This window comes from Homo sapiens, chromosome 2 (genome assembly GCF_000001405.40).
Source record: "Homo sapiens chromosome 2, GRCh38.p14 Primary Assembly".
Classification (NCBI taxonomy): domain Eukaryota; kingdom Metazoa; phylum Chordata; class Mammalia; order Primates; family Hominidae; genus Homo; species Homo sapiens.
In genome coordinates this window covers 28,964,212-28,986,256 of record NC_000002.12, presented here as the reverse complement: position 1 = coordinate 28,986,256, position 22,045 = coordinate 28,964,212, and the positions used below count along the sequence as shown (strand labels likewise).

General features: G+C 48.2%; 1 protein-coding gene across 12 annotated transcripts in view; it reads right to left on the bottom strand.

Annotated features, from left to right (window-relative positions):
- Nucleotides 1–22,045, bottom strand: part of TOGARAM2 (TOG array regulator of axonemal microtubules 2) — a 95,713-nt gene that overhangs the window by 65,974 nt on the left and 7,694 nt on the right. For 9 of the 12 annotated variants that reach the window (XR_939670.1, NM_199280.4, NM_001321538.3 and 6 more), the window contains exon 1: nt 4,719–4,959. The exons of the other annotated variants lie outside the window; for them this stretch is intronic. The gene's annotated coding sequence lies outside the window, so the exon portion shown is untranslated. Of the gene's footprint in view, nt 1–4,718; nt 4,960–22,045 lie in introns of those variants that run through there. 12 annotated transcript variants of the gene reach the window in all.

Here is a 22,045-nt window from a genome sequence, read left to right as displayed (position 1 = left end):
AGTTTTATTTAGGCTGTTTTTGAAAAACAATGAGATAAGTGACAAGCAGGGCTGCCATGTTTGATTGTCTAGGTTGGGCACTGCACGAGGGCATCCTAATTAAGGAGACATCTCTCACACTACATCTTTTTTTTTTTTTTTTTTGAGACACAGTTTCACTCTGTCGGCCAGGCTGGAGGTCAGTGTCATGATCTCAGCTCACTGCAACCTCCACCTCCCAGGTTCAAGCAACTCTCCTGCCTCAGCCTTGCAAGTAGCTGGGATTACAGGCATGTGCCACCATGCCCAGCTAGTTATTTTTTTGTGTGTATTATTAGTAGTGACGGGGTTTTGCCATGTTGGCCAGGCTGGTCTCGAACTCCTGACCTCAAGTGATCCACCCACCTCAGCCTCCCAAAATGCTGGGATTACAGGCATAAGCCTCACACTACATCTTCTCCAAAGTCCTGGCAATGTTGTTTTAGACGATGACTGTACATATTTGTACATTCATTTCAGTCTTTTTCTGATGAATAGAAGAAAAGTGTCTTGAGAAAGAGACATCTTTTTCTAATTCACAAAGGAACCATATGAGTGGGCTGTGGTCCTAGTAACAAAGCGTATGTAACTTATACACAAATTTACAAAATTCAAAATCTTCTGAACCTGCCCCCACCTTTGTGTATCGTGTTGGTGCAAATATAAATTAGAGATTAATCAGAACTTGGTCTAGTAATTTAACAGAATTTCCCATGCCTTTCTTCTGTTACTAAATTTCAAGCTGGAAGGGGCCTTGGAGGTCAGCTAGTTTCCTCCCTTGTAAATGAGGGGTTAATGAGCCGAGATCACACCATTGCACTCCAGCCTGGGCAACAAGAGCAAAACTCCGACTTAAAACAAAAACAAAAACAAAACAAAAAAATGAAAAGCAAAACAAAAAAAAAACCCCAGCAATTTAGTTCTGGAGGCTGGGAAGTCCAAGATCAAGGTGCCAGCTGATTCCACTCCTGGTGAGGACTCACTTCCTGGATTGCAGGTAGCTGTCTTCCCTTTGTCCTCACATGGCAGAGAGAGAGACAGAGAGCAAGCTCTCTGGTCTCTTCTTCTAAGGGCACTAACCCATCATGAGACAACCACCCTCACGACCTCATCTGAATCTAATTACCTCCCGAAGGCCCCACCTCCTAATACCAACACATGGGGGGTTAGGCTTTAACATTTGCATTTGTGGGACGCATGCATTCAGTCTATAACACCTACATAAGGCCATCAGGAGCCAATACCTATCCCAGGGCCCATACCCCTATAGGCATCACACTGGCTGCCAGCTGGCAAGGCCTTCAGCAGGACTGGGAGGAAAGCTTCCTTTTCCAGCTTCCCATCAAGGCCTCCCCAAAATGGTCACCTTGCCACTACAGTGCCTGGTCAGAGCCTGTGTAGTGTGCTCCCAAGGATTAAGGTTTTGGGAGGGGTAGGATACCACCGCATCAATCCTGCCTGAAATCACACAGCCATTGGCTGGGGCTTGGAAGTCTTCTGCTGGCCCTGAGATTTCCACCATCAAGGTAAGAGTTATCCTAGCACTTGATCATAGTCCTGGAGTCTCGAATGAAAAATGGCTTGGTCCACTGCCCCAGGAATGCCTTCTGCAGGGTTTGGCTGATCAGTTGAGGATTCCTGCCCAGTAGCAGGAGCTTGAATCTTCAAACTGTAGACTGTAAACAAGCACATGTACTCAGAGGATCAGAAGGGACTAGGAAGCAAGAAAGCATCTTGTCCAAAGTCTCAGCAAAGGTGTATTGGCATGACTCTAGCATCTGAATGTCTGTCACACCCCAGGAAAGGGCTCTTGGCAAAGGCCTCCCTGCAAGAAGCTCAGAAGACTTCAGACCCCGGCCCTGTCCCTTCCCAATGGCCCATGAGAAAGCCGACTTTCTTGAATAGGAGCCAGAGTTTTGTGTGTGCCTCTCCAGGACATACACCAGGTTTTGCCTGGGAAATATAAATGGCTTCTGTGGAGGGACATTTTTTTTTCTGTCTTTGTTTTGTTGAAGAGAAATCCAAGACCCAGGAAGGGATGTGAGTTGGGCCAAGAACCAGAGGTTTTAAAACACGAAATGGGAAACTCAGACTTCCAGACAGTGGCTCTGGAGCCTGGGTCTGTAATTCAAACACTAAGAAGTATGTGGAATAGTGATTGGTTCTCCAAGAAGAAGAATGGAGGAGAGGGATGGAGGAGTGGGGAGGGCAGAGAGAAAAATGGGGCTCAAAAGCCTGAGCACCATGAGGGGCTGAGATCACAGAGAGCAGAGGAAGGGAGGCACCCAACAGAGGAGGAAAGAGGTGAGGAAGAATGGCTGGGGGCAGATGCTCAACCCCCTGGTAATCAAGAAAATGCAAATGAGATGCTACCACCATCCCACAAAGATGGGCAAAAATTGAGATGGGCGGCAATGCCAAGTGCTAGTGAGAGCACAGAGCAATGGGAGCACTCATGACAGCTGGCAGGTGAGATGCAAATGGGCACAAACCCTTGGGAAAGTGGTCTGGCTTTACCTGATAAAGCTAAAAATGCACAAACCTAATGTTCAGCAATTCCACTCCTAGGAACCCACCCTTGAGAAAGTCTTGCACAGGTGATCCAGGAAAGGAGCTCGAGAGTGTCCAGAGCAGTGCCATGGATAATGGCCAAAATCTGGAAAAAATCTAAATGTCCAACAGGAAAATGAAGGACTAAATCATGGTGCACTCACAACATAGAATATTACAGAGCAATGAAACAAACGACTGCCCCACTCAACACTATGGACGATGCCACAGCGTAATGTTTAGTGAAAGAAGACAGACCCAAGAGACCACACAGGGTATGCCCCTACTTCTATAAAGTTCAAAGAAAGACAAAATTACATCGAGTGTTTAGAAATGCATACATAGGCCCAGCGTGGTGGCTCACACCTGTGATCCCAGCACTTTGGGAGGCCAAGGCAGGCATATCACCTGAGCCAGGAATTCGAGACCAGGCTGAGCAACATGGAAAAAACCCATCTCTACAAAAAAAAAAAAAAAAAAAAAAAAAAAATATATATATATATATATATATTTATATATACACACACACAAAGATTAGCCGGGCATGGTGGTGTGCACCTGTACACCCAGCTACTTGGGAAGCTGAGGTGGGAGGAACACTTGAGCCTAGGAGGCAGAGGTTGCAGTGAGCTGAGATCATGCCACTGTACTCCCACCTGGGGGACAGAGTGAAACCTTGTCTCAAAAAATGAAGCGAAATTAAATTAAAATAAAAATGCAGACATAGATGGAAAACTTGATAGAAAATCAAGGAAAAATTAGTAGCATGATTAACCCTAAGGGGAAGGGAGGCAGCTGTGATAAGGACAGGGCCCACGGGGGTGGGTTCTGGGAGGCGGCCAGTTTTTCTGTTTCTTGGCCTGGGAGGTGGCTACATGGACATTCACTTTATAATTATTCCTCACACTGCATGCATTTTATGCATTCTTCTGTCTGCAATAATAAACTTCCAGCCTCTGTGCTAGTGAGCAGAGTCTGGTGCCTCTGAGGTAGCCGTGGGGTCAATGGGAGGATGCGCTGCCCTCAGAGGCAGGTCTCTCCAGAGCTCAGGTTGACATCTCCCCATCCCTTGCCCCCAACTACCTCCCCCTTTCTTCAAATCTGTTAGTCTCAGGCTCCATGGGCTGAAACTGAGCCAGTCCTGGGAGCCAGCCTGTGGCTAGAAGGCTGCAGGGCCGTCTCCTGCAGGGCATTGGTGAGAAGAGCGAGGGACTGCCCAGTTCAGGATAGAAGCGATTATGGGCCCCTCACACCACTTCCTGGGGCCAGGCACCAATGCCCTGTGGCCTGCCTCAGTGATGCTCCGACAGAGTACGGGCCCCAGTCCCTCCCCTCCCAGCGCTCCTGAGGAAATGGCAGCCCTCTGAGGTCCCCCGCCAGCACCAGCCCTTGTCCTGGAGAAGTGACTGGCAAAACCTTAGTTTCAGGAGACTGAAATGTGCTCCAGAAAGGAACATGCCAATCTCCACCTAACAACAGCATCAACAACAAACAGTAACTTCCATTCTGCGCATGGGCTAACGTGCCAGCTGCCCTCCTGACTGTCTCCATGCTCACAGACAGCACCAAGGGGGCTTTTTTTAAACCCTTCTTCACAGATGAGAAACCTGAGGCTCAGAGAGGCAAAGAGCTCAAGTCCACACAGCCAGAAAGAGGGGGGGTTAGAATTCAAACCCAGAGCAGAGCCCCTCCAAGGCCTATGCTCTCACGGGGTGCCCCAGCACCCCTAAGCACGGGTGCCATCCCCACAGCATGCCCCCACCCTTCCCGGCACCATCGCCCACAGCACCCCAGGGAGCTGTTGCCCTGTGAAGGGTTCACCCTGAGGTAGAGAGCACTGCCCACAGAGGCCATGACTCGGGGAAGGGGTCAGCCCAGGCCAGCCCCTCCTTCCTTGGCTCCCAGTGCTCAGAGAACAGTGAGTCCAACCTCCTCCCCTAGAGCTGCCACATGAAGGCCCAGAAAGGGTCAGAGACATCCCCACGGTCACACAGCCTCCAAGTCACAGCAGGATGCTTTTTCTTTCTCTGTGTGTTTGTGCTTGCTCCAGTTCAGGTCTTTATCCCTCCCTCCAGGGACTTCAGGGGTCCTGACCCAGCCTCCCATTCACCACCTACAATAGATGGCTTGGTGGACCTATCGTCTCTCACCTCTCTGTCCAGAGGCCAAACCCCTGTCACTGGAGGAATCCAGGGTCCTTGGTCTCTATAGAGACGTTGATGCTCATGGGCCCAGGGAGGCAAGGACGGGGCAGCCCCAGGCCTGGCCCACCCTGGCCCCCACCAGCCACACAGTCCTGGGCCGCAGCCTCCTGTCTGAGCAGGGGCTGGGTGGCCACGAGCTCCACTGCTGGCGTGCTCCAGCTCTCAGCAAAGCTCTCCTTGAATAAACAAGGCTGCATAGCAACCACTCGCTGAAGGAGCCCATAGCTCCCTGCGCGGGGGAGAGACCGAGCCGAGAGATTTTCCCCTTGGTCTCATTGCCTCTGTGGCTCACCGGAGCACAGGCACTACCAAGTGGCCGACCTGTCCTCTAGGGTCATGGACACCACAGAAAGAGAGAGCACTGGGCCCCCCTGCCTGGTGACTGCAGCCAGGAAGTGCATAGCTGGCTTGGTGCAGGGATGTTGTTGGTAGAACTCCTGGTTTTGCTCACATGGCCTCTGGGCTCAATCTGCTTCTGTTTACTAACTCTCCTAGAGGCAGAAAGACAGAGTGAGCATCCAGGCCTTGGCAGCAGGCAGCTGGGTTTGAATCCTGATCCTGCTACTTCCAGCTGTGTGCCCTCTGGTCAGAACTTTACCTTTCTTGACCTCAGTTTCCTCATCTATAAAATGGGTACACCAATAGTACTGACTTGATAGGGTTGCTGTAAGGATTTCAAAGGTGCATGTAACAGCTTGTAATTTTGTCTAGCACTTGGTAGGCTCTCCATCACTTCCCCAGAAATCCTTGCAGAGCAGAAAGCCTGTGGCCTTCGTCCCAACCAGATTTCTCCACCTTAACTTTTGGAAAATGTGAATCCTAGCAGCCCATGTGTACTTTCTCACTGAACCCAGGCTCTTGGGCGGAAATCCCAGGCTGGCATCCTCTCTCTGGAATGACAGCCAGTCCCACTCCTCATGCTACCCCCTTCTAGCCCTCACCATCCAGGGGGCACACAGTGGAAGCCAAGGACTCAATTTGTATGCAGGCTTGCAAACAGCCACTCGCCCAAAGATACTATGAATTTTCCCAGGCAGCTCCTCCCCATATTCTGTACAAAGGAATCAGCAGGTGTGTGGAACACACAGGGATGGCTGGTGGGAGGCCAACTACACCCCACGAGGCCTGGGCTGCTGAAATGCTTGCACACGGGGTAGCTCCTTCCTGGGACTCTCTCCTCTTCCCTGAGATGGCCAGGGAGGGCAGGCCTTGGGAGTAGCTGCTGTCATTTACCAAGATCCAGGAGGGAGCAAGGAGGGCCAGCCAATTATGACTGAGAACAAGGTCCCTCTGGGGCAGGTGCTGGCCCCAAGCCAGAGGTCACAGCTGACAAGGCGAACGGAACTCCTGAACTCCCTGTAGCAGAGGCCCAGAAAGGAGACTCTTCCTCCAAACCAGGAACAGTGGCTGTGCGGATTCCCCTTGGGAGACAGGTATGAAGATGCCCAGGTGGGGAAAGAGAGGCCTGGCAAGTTAAGCCCTTGCCCCAAGCCACACAGCTTGTGAGTGAGAGCGACTCAACCATGGGAACCCAGGGCGGGGACGTGACAAGGCAGGTTTTGGTGTCCCTCAGCTCTGGCAGGGAGATGGTGTGTGTGCAGCTCCCCCAAAGCCCATCTGCATGTCGCTGCTTGAGTCGGAGCTTCTAGAACACAGATCCGATGGCCGTGCCCTGCTGGACACCCCTCATGGCCCCTGCTGTCCTTGGTGTAAGGGCCAGACTTAGCACCATGGCTGCCAAGCCCCTCTAATCAGGCCCCACTGCATCCTCCTTCAGCTCCTGGGCTCTCCACACTCTGCCTCCACTGGATGGCCGAGCATTATGTGTTCCCAAGGTGGGCTGGCCATGCTCTGTGCCAAATGCTAGAGACACAGGAGGCAGCACAGCCTGCCCTCAGGAGCTGAGTGATGGAGAGAGGCCCCAGCAGGTAACCCCCTGCTTGTTCCTGTGTTACCTGCAATAAGGGAGGATGGATAACACAGCACAGCCCTTAAGAACCAGGGCTCTGAAGCCCCTGGATTCCAGACTGGATTCTGATCCCAGCAATGACATCTTAGGCAAGAAACAAACTCTCTGAGTCTTGGTTCTTTCATATGCCTAGCAGGAAGACTGCAGATCCTCCCTCCCTGGGGTGGCTCCAGTGACCCTCAGTGTGCCCGCCAGGCACAGAGCACGCACTCACCCTCACTGTGACCATGGACAGAGAGCGAATCCCAGGGGCAGTGAGGTGTGACATCCACATGAAATCCCCGAGGTAAGGAGCAGGCCAGTCGAGGAGCATGGGTGGAAACCGCTGAGGCAAACACAACCTGAGCCCCGGGCCTCTGGGGGAGCCAGGAGCTGCCTGGAAGGATTGGGGCACTCCAGGTGGGGAGGGCAGCCAGGCTGCCACCTGGAAGCTCTCTGGAACTCCCCTGAAGAGACCTCAGAAAGAAAGGGACACGAATCCAGCCCTCAGTCATTTGTTGTGACTTCTTTTCTCATTCTAAAAAAATATTTTCATACTTAATTTTGTTTTCTTTCTTAAAGAAGCCCCCAAATTGTTTAAGCCTCGAGTCTCACAAAGCCTGTATCGACCCCTGGTGGAAGGGCGGCCAGACCCTCGGAAGAGGGTCAACAGCTATGAAGGAAACCAGATGTCACCTGTCTCCTCCAGTGCCCAGTGTTCCCAGTCATTGCCCCGACTCTCCTGGGTGTGCTCACACTGGCCTGCTCCCACCCCCAGAACCGATGAACAAATACTTGATGTGAATGAATTAAACTGACTCACAATACAGAATCACAAGCTGGGAAGAGGGCTCTTGAAAGTACCAAATAAGTAGCCCCCTCCACATCCACAGGGGATAGCCCCCATCTACCCCAGAAATCTACTCAAGATTTCAGAAACCAACATTCTATAACTTTCCATGCTGATGGATTTGGTCAGTGGAAGACTACTAAATTCTGATCCTGTTCCCTCAGTAAAAATGTCACCAAGAGTCCTCTTGGCCCTTGTTGATTTGTAAAGTGAACAAAGCTGTTTCTATGTCTAGCAACAAGAAGGACTAGATACCCTGAACACACTTCCCATTGCAAATGACCTGAGCATCCTATATCCAAATAGTCTCCTGAACACGTAGCTGGGCTATTAGCAGGGACTTCACTGAGGGGTCTTCTCCCCTTGCTCTGGGATGTAGCTGTCATGCTCCTCTCCTCTCCTGGCCTTTGTTCATGCTGTTCCCTCCACCCCAAAAGCCTTTCCCATATCCCTTCCTACCCCTTACTTATACCCATCTCCGGCCGGGCACGGTGGCTCACGCCTGTCATCCCAGCACTTTAGGAGGCCAAAGCAGGCAGATCACCTGAGGCCAGGGGTTCGAGACCAGCCTGGGCAACATGGTAAAACCCCGTCTCTACCAAAAATACAAAAATTAGCTGGGCATGGTGGCGCATGCCTGTAATCTCAGCTACTCAGGAGGCTGAGACAGGAGAATTGCTTGAGCCCAGGAGGCAGAAGTTGCAATGAGTCGAGATTGTGCCACTGCACTCCAGCCTGGATGACAGAATGAGACTCCATCTCAAAACAAAAACAACCAAAAAAAAAACACTTTATACCTATCTCCCTTGGCCAATTCCCACCCACGTGCTCCCAAGGGGAGTCCTTACTGACTCTCTAGAAAAGAGGTGCCTCTCATCTGCCTTTCTAGGGCCAGCACTTCCCTATCACAGCACCACTCATCCGCTGACTGTAACTGCCCGCCCCTCTCCTGGCCCACCAGCCAGCCACACAGACCTAGACTGTGAGCTCCTTGGGGGCAGGATTCATGCCTTATATCTCTGGAACCAGCGCCAGCCAGGTTCCACATGGGTGTTGAGAGAGCGACACCAACCTGACTGCACGTGGGGAGAGGAAGTGGCTGGCGGCATAAGAAGCCCCCGCCCCTGCAACATTCACCGCTTCTTCCAGGACCAGACCTGAGATCCAAGCTGCAGACCAGAGTCTCAGCCCCATACATTGTATGGCAGGGAACAGGTAGGGGGAGTTCTGACCCCCTGGGCTGGTGTTGCCCCCTTATAAACCAGGACCATCCCAGGCCTAGCTGGAGGTCAGATCCCAGGGAGCATGGGGAGCAAGGGCCCCTGGTAGGGACCCTAGGAGGTGGTATGCTCAGGCGCCTCCCCCATCTCTGTCTCAGGTACCCATCCCTCAGGATAAGGTGCCCCCAGGCTAAAGATGGTTAGCATAGGGCATGGCCAAGGGTTCCAGGCAAGTGGACAGAGAGTTGGTTCCAGTCCTGACTTTGTCACCATTACTGTGTGCCCTCCAACAAGTCCCTGCCCTCCTTGGGCTTCCAAACTGTCATTTGTGATCAGACACTGGGTGACCTCCTGGTCCCTTAGAGCCCTGATGCCCTGTGTCCTGGGCCCTGGCCCAGGCTGAGGAGAAAGGCTGGAAGCCCCCCATCCCTTCACAGGCCACGCCCCCCCAGGTAGAAAAGCGGATAATGGAGGCAAGCTGGCACTGCCTCCAGACTGACACTGTGCTGGCTTATCTCCCAAAATACCACTGCCCCACCCCCTCCAAGGCCAGCCCCAGCCTGGAGAGCCTGAAAGGCCCTGTCAGTACCACAGGCTGGGTGGGGGTGCTCAGACACTGCCAAGGACACAGAACAGGCCCCTCCCAACCAGCACCTGCCACTGGGCTGACGTGTTCCCTGGGAAGTTCCTGGGAAACTCTAGAATAATGTATGCAACCTAAGCACAGGATCAGAGAGAGGACTAGGCCAAGCCCCTCTTATCGCAGATGATGGAGTCACACAGGAATTCAGTGGTAATGACAGGATGGGGACTAACGCCTTCTGGTTATGCTGCTTCTGGCCCCAGCTGCCCTTCAGGGCTTCTCCCAACAGAAGCCAACCCCTCATCTCACATGGGGTGTGCCTCTCCCTCCTTTCTCCCCATTCCACAAAAGGACGTGTCAGAGAAGAGCAGCTCCCTGCCCCACAGCCACAGGAAAGCTCGAGAGATGGAGGGCAGGGGGAGGGGAGGAGTTAATAGGTGAGTAAATAACTCCAGAAGCTAATGGCAAAAAAGAATTTGATGGGTTTTTGTTGTTGTTGTTGTTGTTGTTTTTGAGATGGAGTCTCACTCTGTCGCCCAGGCTGGAGTGCAGTGGTGTGATCTCAGCTCACTGCAAGCTCCGCCTTCCAGGTTCACGCCATTCTCCTGCCTCAGCCTCCTGAGTAGCTGGGACTACAGGCACCCGCCACCACGTCCGGCTAATTATTTTGTATTTTTAGTAGAGACGGGGTTTCACCATGTTAGCCAGGATGGTCTCGATCTCCTGACCTCGTGATCCATCCACCTCGGCCTCCCAAAGTGCTGGGATTACAGGCGTGAGCCGCCACACCTGGCCCAGAATTTGATATGTTTTTATAAGAACATGCAAAGAAATAGGAAAATGTGTAAAATGCTCCTAAACTTCCACTTTGTAAAAATTAAGCATATGTTTCACATACTTATAATATGTACATATTCCTGTACATATATTGTCATTTTTTTAAAAAGCCTCCACCAGCAGGGCCCAGTGGGGAGCTGAAATTCCATCCCATCATCAGCAATGAGGAAAGGCATAGGGGTGTGAGGCAATATCCTGCTTTTGCTGAGATGGTATCAGCAAGGCCCAGTGGTGAAGCGAACATCCAATCCCACCTAGATCTGTGTGCTAGACCTAAACAGGATAAATGCCCTGCAAAAAAAGAAGACAGAAGAGGACCTAGAATCTCACAACACAATACCCAAAATGTCTAGGAGACAACTGAAAACCACTCATTATACCAAGAACAGGTAAAATAACTTGAATGAGAAGAGGCAATCAATGATGCAGCGCCCAGATGACACAGATTTGAGGATTCTCTAACAAGGATTTCTAAATAGTCATCATAAAAATGCTTCAATTTGCAATTATGAACGTGCTTAAAACACATTAAAAAATAAAATGTCTCGGCCGGGCGCAGTGGCTCGCACACTGGCTCACACCTGTAATCCCAGCACTTTGGGAGGCCGAGGCGGGCAGATCACGAGGTCAGGAGATCGAGACCATCCTGGCAAACACAGTGAAACCCCGTCTCTACTAAAAACACAAAAACATAGCCGGGCGTGGTGGCGGGCACCTGTAGTCCCAACTACTCAGGAGGCTGAGGCAGGAGAATGGCATGAACCTGGGAGGTGGAGCTTGCAGTGAGCCAAGATCGCACCACTGCACTCCAGCCTGGGTGACAGAGTGAGACTCTGTCTCAAAAAATAATAACAATAAAAATTAAAAAAATAAAACGTCTCAGCAAAGAAACACAAGACACAAAGAAAAACAACTGGAAGTTTTAAAACTAAAAAATACATAATCTGTCACAGGAGTAAAGGGAAAAAAAAAATTTAAGAAAGAAAAATACAATATAAATAACAGCATTAATATGACTATGATAGAGGAAAAAAATCAGTGAACTTGAACATAAAACCATAGAAATTACTCGATAGCAACCAACAGAAAAAATATAGACTGAAAAGAAATGAACAAGGCCGGGCACAGTGGCTCATGGCTGTAATCCCAACAATTTGGGAGGCCAAGGTGGGAGGATCACTTGAGGTCAGGAGTTCAAGACCAGACTGGCCAATATAGTGAAACCCTGTCTCTATTAAAAAAATAATAATAATAATAATACAAAAATTAGCCAGGCATAGTGGTCCATGCCTATAATCCCAGCTACTCAAGAGGCTGAGGCAGGAGAATCACTTGAACCAGGGAGGCAGAGGCTTTAGTGAGCCAAGATCAAGCCACTGCACCCCAGCCTGGGTGACACAGCAAGACCCTGTCTCAAAAAATAAAAATAAAAAAGAAATGAACAGAGCCCCAGGGACCGTGGGACTACAACAAAATATCTAACATTTGTATGACTGGAGTTCAAGGAGAGGAGAAAGGGTGTGGGTCTGAAAAAGAATTCAAAGAAATAATGGCTGGAAACTCTCCAAATATGGTAAAAGATACTAATCTACAGATCCAAGAAGCCAAGCACCCCCACATAGGATGAATCCAAAGAAATCCACATCAAGACACATCGTTAAGAGGCCGAGGCATGTGGATCACTTGAGGTCAGGGGTTCAAGACCAGCCTGACCAACATGGTGAAACCCTGTTTCTACTGAAAACAAAAAAATTAGCTGGGCGTGGTGGTGCACACCTGTAATCCCAGCTACTCAGGAGGCTGAGGCAGGAGAATCACTTGAACCCAGGAGGCAGAGGTTGCAGTGAGCTGAGATTGTGCCACTGCACTCCAGCCTGGGTGACAGAGAGAGACTTCGCCTCAGAAAAAAAAAAAAAAAAGGATATATTATAATCAAAGTTCAGAAAACTAAAGACAAAGAGAAAGTCTTGAAAGCAGCTAGAGATAAACATCCCATTGTCTACAGAGAAACACAATACAAGTGAGAATGGATTTCTCATCAGAAAGCATGGACAACCAAGAGAATGGCAGATTTTTCAAATATTGAAAGAAAAACAAATCTATTAACCCAGGATTCTACATTTTTCAAAAATAAAGACGAAATCAAGACATCGTTAGATAAAGAAAACTAAGAGAATTTGTCACAGTCAGACCTACCCGCAAAGAATGGCTAAGGGCAGGTCAGTCAAAGTGGCTCATTCCTGTAATCCTAGCACTTAAGGGAAGCTGAGGCAGGATGATACCTTGAGGCCAGGAGTTTGAGACCAGCCTGGGCAACATAATGAGACTCTGAGCTCTACAAAAACATTTTTTTTTAATTAGCTGGATGTGGTGATGCATGCCTTTGGTCGCAGCTACTTGGGAGGCTGAGGTAGGAGGATTGCTTGAGCCTAGGAGTTTGAGGCTACAATGAGCCATGATCACACCACTGCACTCCAGCTTGGGTAACAAAGCGAGACTGTGACAAAGGAAAGAAGGCAGGAAGGCAGGAAGGAGGGAAGGAGGGAGGGAGAAGAACGAAGGAGGGAGGGAGGGAGGGAGGAAGGAAGGAAGGAAGGAAGGAAGGGGAAGGGAAGGAAGGGAGGAAAGAAGGAAAGGAGGAAGGAAGGAAGGGAGGAAAGAAGGAAGGAAGGGAAGGAAGGAGGAAAGAAGGAAGGGAAGGAAGGGAGGGGCTAAGCAAAGTTCTTCAAACAGAAAGGCAATCATAAAGGAAGGGAACCATAGAGTTGCTGTCCAAGGAATAAGGCAGGCAGGTGAGGACAGGCTTGAGCCATCTGGATAGAGCCTCGGGGGAGGTGCTGCTCCAGGCCCTGCAGGGAAATGCCAAATCTGTGTTGAAATCTGCTTCTCCTCATCACCCTGTGGGAAGGATGTCAGCCAATCACAGCCCACACAGAGGAAAGAGGATGTGAAGGTGCAGGACTCTAGACCACATCACATGAGCAACAGCGAAGACAAAAAGAGGACTCGGAGGCAAACAAGAGGGCTCCATTCTGCCAGTGGTTGGATAACCAGCCACGAGGGATTGGGCTTGGCCACGTGGCTCGGACACTAATTAACAGGAGTGTAGGAGGACAGACTTCTTAAGAAATGGCTCTAACAAAAGGCTTTCCATTCTTAGAGGTGTTCAAAAAGCCAGACAGCAACTTTCCAGGATGTTTCATAGGAAGCAGGCTCTTTCCACCCCAATATCCCAGCTCCCAGCCCTACCAAGAACCTTTCTAGCTCAGGGACCCTGGAATATGGAGGACATGTAAGACACAGTCCCCTACATGCAAGGTGGAGCCTACGTTCTATTCCAGCTGTGGTCTGGAATCATGCCTTTGGCCAGACTTGCCCCAGAGCCAGTGGGAATCTCCAGCCCAGCCATTCTCCAAGTGTGTTTTGTGGAACAAATGAAGACTGTGGAAAGAAATACAGAACAAAGAAGAAAAAAATATTCTATGGTAAGGGAAGTTTGGGAAACATGGACTTAAATAATGCTGAGGCTGCGTCTGAAGGTGATGAGTTATCTCCATTATAACAGAGTCAGTTACACATAAAACTCGTCCTCCTCTTTCCTCTCTTCTCACTACTCCACTTGACTAGTCTAAATAAATAATACTGACCCGGGGCAGTGGCTCACACCTGTAATCCCAGCACTTTGAAAGGCCAAGGTGGGCAGATTGCCTGAGCTCAGGAGTTCAGTGACGAAAGAGCAAAACCACCCTAGGCAACATGGTGAAACCCCATCTCTACTAACATCAAAAAAATTAGCCACGCGTGCTGGCACGTGCCTATAATCCCAGTTACTCAGGAGGCTGAGGCAGGAGAATCGCTTGAGCCCAGGAGGCAGAGGTTGCAGTGAGCTGAGATCACACCACTGCACTCCAGCTTGGGCGACAGAGTGAGACCCTGTCTCAAAAAATAAAATGTGAATAAATAAATAAATAATACTGAACTCATTTCTTACCTATCCCATGTCTCAGGGCCTTTAATATACACTGTGTATTACGACGTTCCAATAAGGGATAGAGTATGAAGCAATTTCCAAATCTATATGACCATATAGACCTGTTGGTTCATAAAATATCTCTTAAGATCAGAGTTTTCAAGAACAGACATTGCAAAACTCTGCTATAATCTGTTTCAAAGTTTCCAAAGCAACTAGCCCAGAACTTGAGCACAGTCAAATAACAAATTTATCATTCGATTCAAATAATATTTTACTCCTTAGAACCATCAAGAAAAATCAGACCTCAAGAAAGTTGTCCAAGCCAGGTAAGGTGTAGATCTCTCTCCCCAGCTGGTACAGGCACATCCTCATGACTGCCCTTCAGAAAAGCCATCAGAACGAAAAAGGAAGAAAAACCACTCAGGAAAAAATATCTCAGAGAAGAAACAAAACCAGCCTCAGGAGTCAGAAGCAAGAGAACGTGGCTTCCCACCTCAAAAAACCTGATTGAGGATCCCTCCCACACCCCCACCAATCCTTTCTCTAGAGACTATACATTACCGGCTGGTCGTGGTGACCCACGCCTATAATCCCAGCACTTTGGGAGGCCGAGGCAGGAGGATTGCTTGAGCTGGGGAGTTCGAGAACAGCCTGGGCAACACGGGGAGACCCCATCTCTACAAAAAATCTAAAAATTAGTCAGGCATGATGGCGCACACCTGTAGACCCAGCTACTCCGAAAGCTGAGGTGGGAGGATCGCTTGAGCCTGGGAGGTTGAGGCTGCAGTGAGCTGTGATCATACCACTGCACTCTAGCCTGGGCAACAGAGCAAGACCCTGACTCATAAAAAAAAAAGAAAAGAAACTAAACTCCCACCAAACACAAGCGTTTGTGAGCAGTTTCAACCCCCCTCTGGAATGTGATTGACAAATACTTTCCAGAGATTCCCACTCCATACCTGAGGAGCCAGGCTTCAGGGGAGCTCTCAAAAGCAACAAGTCCCAGTCCAGGGTCTGCAGCCTCCAGGCCTGCTGGCTCCAGCTGTGAGCCAGGGCTCCCCAGGAAGGAGAGGCGTGCAGGAGAGGACACACACTTCCTCCTCAAGGAGATGAGCCAGGGCCAGCCGGAGTGAAAGCCAGGCCCAGAGGTCTCTGGGCACTGGCTCTGTTTGATGTGAATGGAAGAAAAGATTTCTTGTTTTTCACAGTTCCCCTGGGTGACAGTTACCATGGATATAAATCAATTTTTGGTATCTGTCAGTAGCCAAATGAATAGAAAGAGTGCACTCCCTCGGAGCCACAGTCAGACAGAGACATGCATGGGGACAGAGTTTGACAGCAAGCTCAGGTCAGCCAATAGAGTGGGCGCAGGTGGGTGCGTTGCTCCTGGGAGTCCACCCTGGGCTTTTAACAGGGTGCACACACAGCCCCATGGCCCTCACCGCCAGGGAGAAGCAACTTGATATAGGTGGATAGTGATTTCCCCACATTAATAGGCAGGACACCCAGAACTCTGAAAGACATTCCCTAGAATACCCAAAGAAAATGTTCAAAGACAAGCCCCAGAGAGCAGGCCAGGATCCTAATGGCTCATTTAACAATCAGAGCTACCACTTATTATTTGCCAGTCTAAGCGCTTTATATATTAGATCATTTATCTTCAAAACAATCCTTTGGATAGGTACTCTTATTATCCCCACTTTATAGATGAGGAAACTGAGGCTCAGAGAGGTCACTCAACTAGCAGTGGTCACAAAAGGATTAAAACCCAGCTTATCTAATTCTGTAGCAGCTCTACTCTATTCTCAAGACTTCTGGGATGCAGACCCAGCTCTGTCCCTGGGGCCTCATGCAAATCATTAAACTTCTCTGAAACCCATTTTCTCATCTCAAAAATAGGGGAAAAATATTGTTCCTGCCTATGTCCTAGGACTTTTGTAAGAATTGTATACAAGACAACCGATGTCGGGCACGGTGGCTCATGCCTGTAATCCTAGCACTTTGGGAGGCCAAGGCGGGCGGATCACGAGGTCAAGAGTTCGAGACCAGCCTGACCAACATGGTGAAACCCCATCTCTACTAAAAATACAAAAATTAGCCGGGCGTGGTGGTGTGCACCTGTAATCTCAGCTACTTGGGAGGCTCAGGCGGGAGCATTGCTTGAACCCGGGATGCAGAGGTTGTGGTGAGCTGAGATTGTGCCATTGCACCCCAGCCTGGGCAATAAGAGCGAAACTCCGTCTCAAAAAAAAAAAAAAAAAGGAAGACAACCGAAATTTAGGGAAGGGAAGATAAAAAGAAAGAAAATTAACATTCATTAGGCATCTATTGTGTGTCAGAGCAGTTACATTGTTACTTATAAGAGTTATCTCTCATTCCAAGGTGGCTTTCTGAAACTTCTCTCTCATTCCAAGGTCAAAGACCTTGTCAGAGGCCTTGTAGTCAGGAAGCTGGAGTCTAGATTCCAACAGAGGTCTGTCTGGTGCCAAACTTTTTGTTTGGGCGTTTTTGTTTTTCTTCTTGTACTCCAAGATGTCATAGGTACAAAAGTTAATGACCCATTGGTGTGAGTGACCCAAGTCCCATTGGGCCTCCTGTCTTCTGGAATCCTCATTTGTTCTGCCAGTGTAGCTTCCAACTTCTGCATTTGGGAAAGCTGCCCACCCGGGACCAAAGCCCCCTGCCTCTGACTCCACTGTAGCACTCACGACTGCTGCCCCACATTCTGCCAGGCAGCTACAAATGCTGTGTGGCCTTGGGCAAAGCCCTTGACCTCTCAGACCCTAATAATCTCACATTTCAATGTGGCTAAAACCAGAACTGAAAACCTCCATGGCAAATTTCAATCCCCCAGAGATGGCCTGCACTGCAAACCTTGCAAATCTCCTGACGCCCAGCTAGAATCCTCCCGAAACCTCTCTGCACGGCCTATCACGGTGCTCCATCCTAAAATACATGTGGACCTTTGTCCTTCTCTCTGTGAATAATGGATGGCATATTCTTCTGGTGAGACCAAAGAGAAATATCCTGTCTTCCTCTCATGCTGATCTTCCTGGCACTCAGACTGCCTGCACCAATGGCCTCATTCATCCTAGATGCAGAGAGAGCCAGCTTCTGAAATACTGACAGCGATCACAGCAGAGGCAATGGCTCTTTAAGGACCCTTTAAGGGTAATACAGGGGAGTACTTCACTCAGAAGCACGTTCGGCATGCGCTTTTTTCTTTTTCCTTGTTTTTTTTTTTTTTTTTTTTTTTTTGACAGAGTCTCACTCTGTCACCCTGGCTGGAGTGCAGTGATGCAATCTCCAATCACTGTAATCTCCACCTGCTGGGCTCAGTGATCCTCCTACCTCAGCCTCCTAAGTAGCTGGGACTACAGGCACATGCCACCATGCTCAGCTAATATTTTTTGTATTTTTTGTATTTTCAATAGAGACGGAGTTTTGCCATGTTGCCCAGGCTGGTCTCGATCTCCTGGACTCATGCAATCCACCCACCTTGGCCTCCCAAAGTCATGCACACTTTTCCTAGGGTGCATATGGGTGCGAGGAAAAGGACAAAGGTGTAAAGGACCAAGATGGCCTCATTGCAACCAACAGACACACTGAGGAAATGGACAACCTCCGCTGCGGGGAGTGGAGAAGGGCAGGGAGAGAGGGAGCGAGGAGGGAAGAGGGGAGAGAGAGAATATGAGAGCAGAACATACCCATGAATCTAGAAACCAAGGTGGCCAAATGTAGAATTTGCTGTGTTATAAAAACAATAATAATTTAACCATTAAAAAGAGAAGACCTAGCTGGAAAAGAAATAAAGATAATGGGAATAAATGGAAGGTGTGATTTTATACCTATCGCTCTATTGACTCTATTTAAGCTAGTTTTGTAACATTGCTGAGATTTTTTTACTGAACACCTGAGGGTCCTTGTCCCCAGACACATTAAAGACCATCTTATTGGCCCAGCGTGGTGGCTCAGGCTTATAATCCCAACACTTTTGGAGGCCAAGGCGGGCGGATCACCTGACGTCAGGAGTTCAAGACCAGCCTGGCCAACATGACAAAACCCTGTCTCTACTAAAAACACAAAAATTAGCCAGGTGTGGTGGCATATGCCTTTAATCCCAGCTACCCGGGAGGCTGAGACAGGAGAATCGCTTGAACCCAGGAGGGGGAGGTTGCAGTGTCAGTGAGCCGACATTGAGCCACTGCACTCCAGCCTGGGCAATAGAGCGACAGAGCAAGACTCCATCTAAAAAAAAAAAAAAAAAAAAAAAAAGACCATCTTATTTCATCTTCATGCTCACCCTTTGAATTGCTCTTATCTTTGCTTTGTAGATGAGGAAATTGACACTCGTGGAAGGTAAGCAGTTTGCCAAAGGTCACGGAGTAAGCGCTGGAAACTGGATCCTCACCCCTCTAATCAGTGCTTTTTCAATACTTAATTTCTTTATAGGAAAAGTCACGCTAGGTCAGCCCATGGCCACCTCAGCTAGGGCCAGTGGAGGACATTTCATGATAAGAGTTCCAGAGCTTTAATTTCTACATTTTTTAAGCAGAGTGGCCTGTTTGATTTTGTTTTGTTCTTGTTGTTTTGTTTTTTGAGACAGGATCTCTCTCTGTCACCCAGGCAGGAGTGCAGTGGTGCGATCACAGCTCACTACAGCCTCAAGTGCCTGGGCTCAAGGGATCCTCCCACCTCATCTTCCTGAGTAGCTGGGACCACAGGTGCACTCCACCATGCATGGCTATTTTTTTTATTATTTGTAGAGACAAGGTCTCACTATGTTGCCCAGGTTGGTCTCAAACTCCTGGGCTCAAGAAATCCTCCTGTTTTGGCCTCCCAAAGTGCAGGGTTTTTTTAATTTTTACAAGATCCAAATTAATAAAGTCTAGACTTTGGCAAATTTCTTGAAATCTGATCATCTATTTTGGAAATGTTATCTATTTATGCCCATTCACTTGTACAATGCATTTGATGTTGAGCACCTTGGGAGCCTAAAAATGTAATGTAAAAGCTGCCGCTTTCCTTTTTTCTAATGAAATAAAATTCTTCCTCTTGAAACTTTTTACATTTGCAGACTTGCAGACTTTAAAAAATAAAACCTATATGGCTTTCTTTTACATATGAAATTTCTCAAGTCCAGAGTCTTACAAACATCTCTGAAATGCAGTAGGCTTTCCTATGAAACTCATGAGCTGTCATAATACACATGAAAAATGGGTGCCATTTCTCCTGTGCTCTTGGGGAGTAGGCAGCCATTATAAACCATCATGTGGTGCAGATGATATGGTCTTATTTTTATATTTATAGATACATATACACATTAAAAAGGTCTGGAAGGATATATGCTAAAACATTAATTTTGCCTACATTGGGATGCAGGGAATTGTGGGTAATTCTTGCTGCAATTGTTATTTCAAGATTTTCTACTGTAAACATGGATTATTTATATACATTCTTAAATTATTACAATAATTTGGCCAGGCACGGTGGCTCACACCTGTAATCCCAGCACTTTGGGAGGCTGAGGTGGGCAGATCATGAAGTCAGGAGATCAAGACCATCCTGGCCAACATGGTGAAACCCCATCTCTACTAAAAATACAAAAATTAGCTGGCCATGGTGGTGTGCGCCTGTAGTCCCAGCTACTCAGGAGGCTGAGGCAGGAGAATCGCTTGAACGCCGGAGGTGGAGATTGCAGTGAGCTGAGATCACACCACTGAACTCCAGCCTGGTGACAGAGCGAGACTCCATCTCAAAAATAAATAAATAAATAAAAAGGAAAAAAATTAAATAAGCTCACGCCTGTAATCCTGGCACCTTGGGACACCAAGGCAGGCGGATCACCTGAGGTCAGGAGTTTGAGACCAGCCTGGCCAACATGGTGAAACCCTGTCTCTAATAAAAATACAAAAACTAGCCAGGCGTGGTGGCGCACACCTGTAATCCCAGCTACTTGGGAGGCAAAGGTTGCATTGAGCCAAAAATCGTGCCACTGCACTCCAGCCTGGGAGGCAGAGGGAGACTCTGTCTCAAAAAAAAAAAAATAAGCTAAGTGAGCCCTCTGTTTCTGACATGATGGAATAACATGGACCAAATACCCTCTCAGAAGAAACAATGAGAAAACTGGACAAAGTGTGAAACAATTATTTTCAGACACTGGACTACAGGCAGCCCTGCAATTCCTAAGAGAAGGGTAACAGAGGAAGCAAGGCCTCCAGGAATCAGGCATTCTAGACCATGAAGCAGGGAAGGGGCATCCCAATCTAGTGGTACTGAGGAGACAGATATTGGAATCCAGAACAGTTGAGGCAGTGGAAGTCATACGGCAGAGCTCTTAGAGAAGAGGGAGGTAGGCAGAAAGCCTTTGCTTAAAAAACACCAAAAGTCTGCATGGGAGTCCTCTTGAGTCTTTACTCCACACTAAGATGTGCACAAGAGGGTACAATTCCAGGAAGCCAGGCAAAGAGCTGCTGAGAAGCAGTGAGCTAAAGGGTTCCCAGGGCTTACACGGCATCTGAGTCCCAACTATTCAGAAAGACGGATCCCTGTTGATAACTTGGGGCCCTCACTAGGGAACGGGAAAGGCCATGCACATGGCGACGCACATGATAAACCCCAGAGCCATCACTAAAACAACAATACAAAGGAGCAGGGCTAACAACAAGCCAATAGTGAAGATGCAGTGAAATTTTAAAATTATTCAATCCAAAAGTCATGAGAAGAAGGGGGAAAAGGGCAATAAAAACAGATGAGACGAATAGAAAAGAAATAGCAGAGTGGCACACTTAATCCCAATCAAACTGGTAACTAAACTACATGAAAATACTCTAAACATTCCAATTAACAGGAAGAGTTCAATTGGATAAAAAAACAAAACCCCACCAGTCAGAACAGCAAATATTAAAAAGTCAAGAAACAACAGACGCTGGTGAGGTTGTGGAGAAATAGGAAAGCTTTTACACTGTCGGTGGGAATGTAAATTAGTTCAACCATTGTGGAAGAGGGTGTGGGGATTCCTCAAAGATCTAGAACCGGAAATACCATTGGACCCAGCAATCCCATTACTGGGTATATACCCAAAGGAATATAAATCATTCTATTATAAAGATACATACACGCATATGTTCATTGCAGCACTATTCACAATAGCAAAGACATGGAATCAACCCAAATGCCCATCCGTGATAGACTGGATAAAGAAAAGGTGGTACACATACACCATGGAATACTATGCAGCCATAAAAAGGAATGAGATAATGTTCTTTGCAGGGAAATGGATGAAGCCAGAAGCCATTATCCTCAGCAAACCAATGCAGGAACAGAAAACCAACCACCACATGTTCTCACTTATAAGTGGGAGGTGAACAATGAGAACACATGGACACAGGGAAGGGAACAACACATGGAAGGGGCCTGCTGGGGGGTTGGGTGGGGGGAGGGAGAGCTTTAGGAAAAATAGCTAATGCATTCTGGGCTTAATATCTAGGTGATGGGTTGATCTGGGCAGCAAACCACCGTGGCACACGTTTACCTATGTAACAAACCTGCACATCCTCCAGATGTAACCCAGAACTAAAAATTAAAATTAAAAAAAAAAAAAAACAAGACCCAATTAGGTGCTATTTACAAGAAAAACACTTTGAAATTAAAAACACAGATAAAGAGGAAAAAAAAGAGATACATCATACAAATAAGAAGCCACTTGAAAAACCAGAGTGGCTACATTAGACAAAGTAGACATTAGAACAAGAAGCGTTCCCTGGTATAAAGATGGACATTTCATAATGTCAAAAGGGTCAATTCATCAAGAAGATGTAACAGTCTTAAATGTGAATATACCATAACAAAGCATAACATAC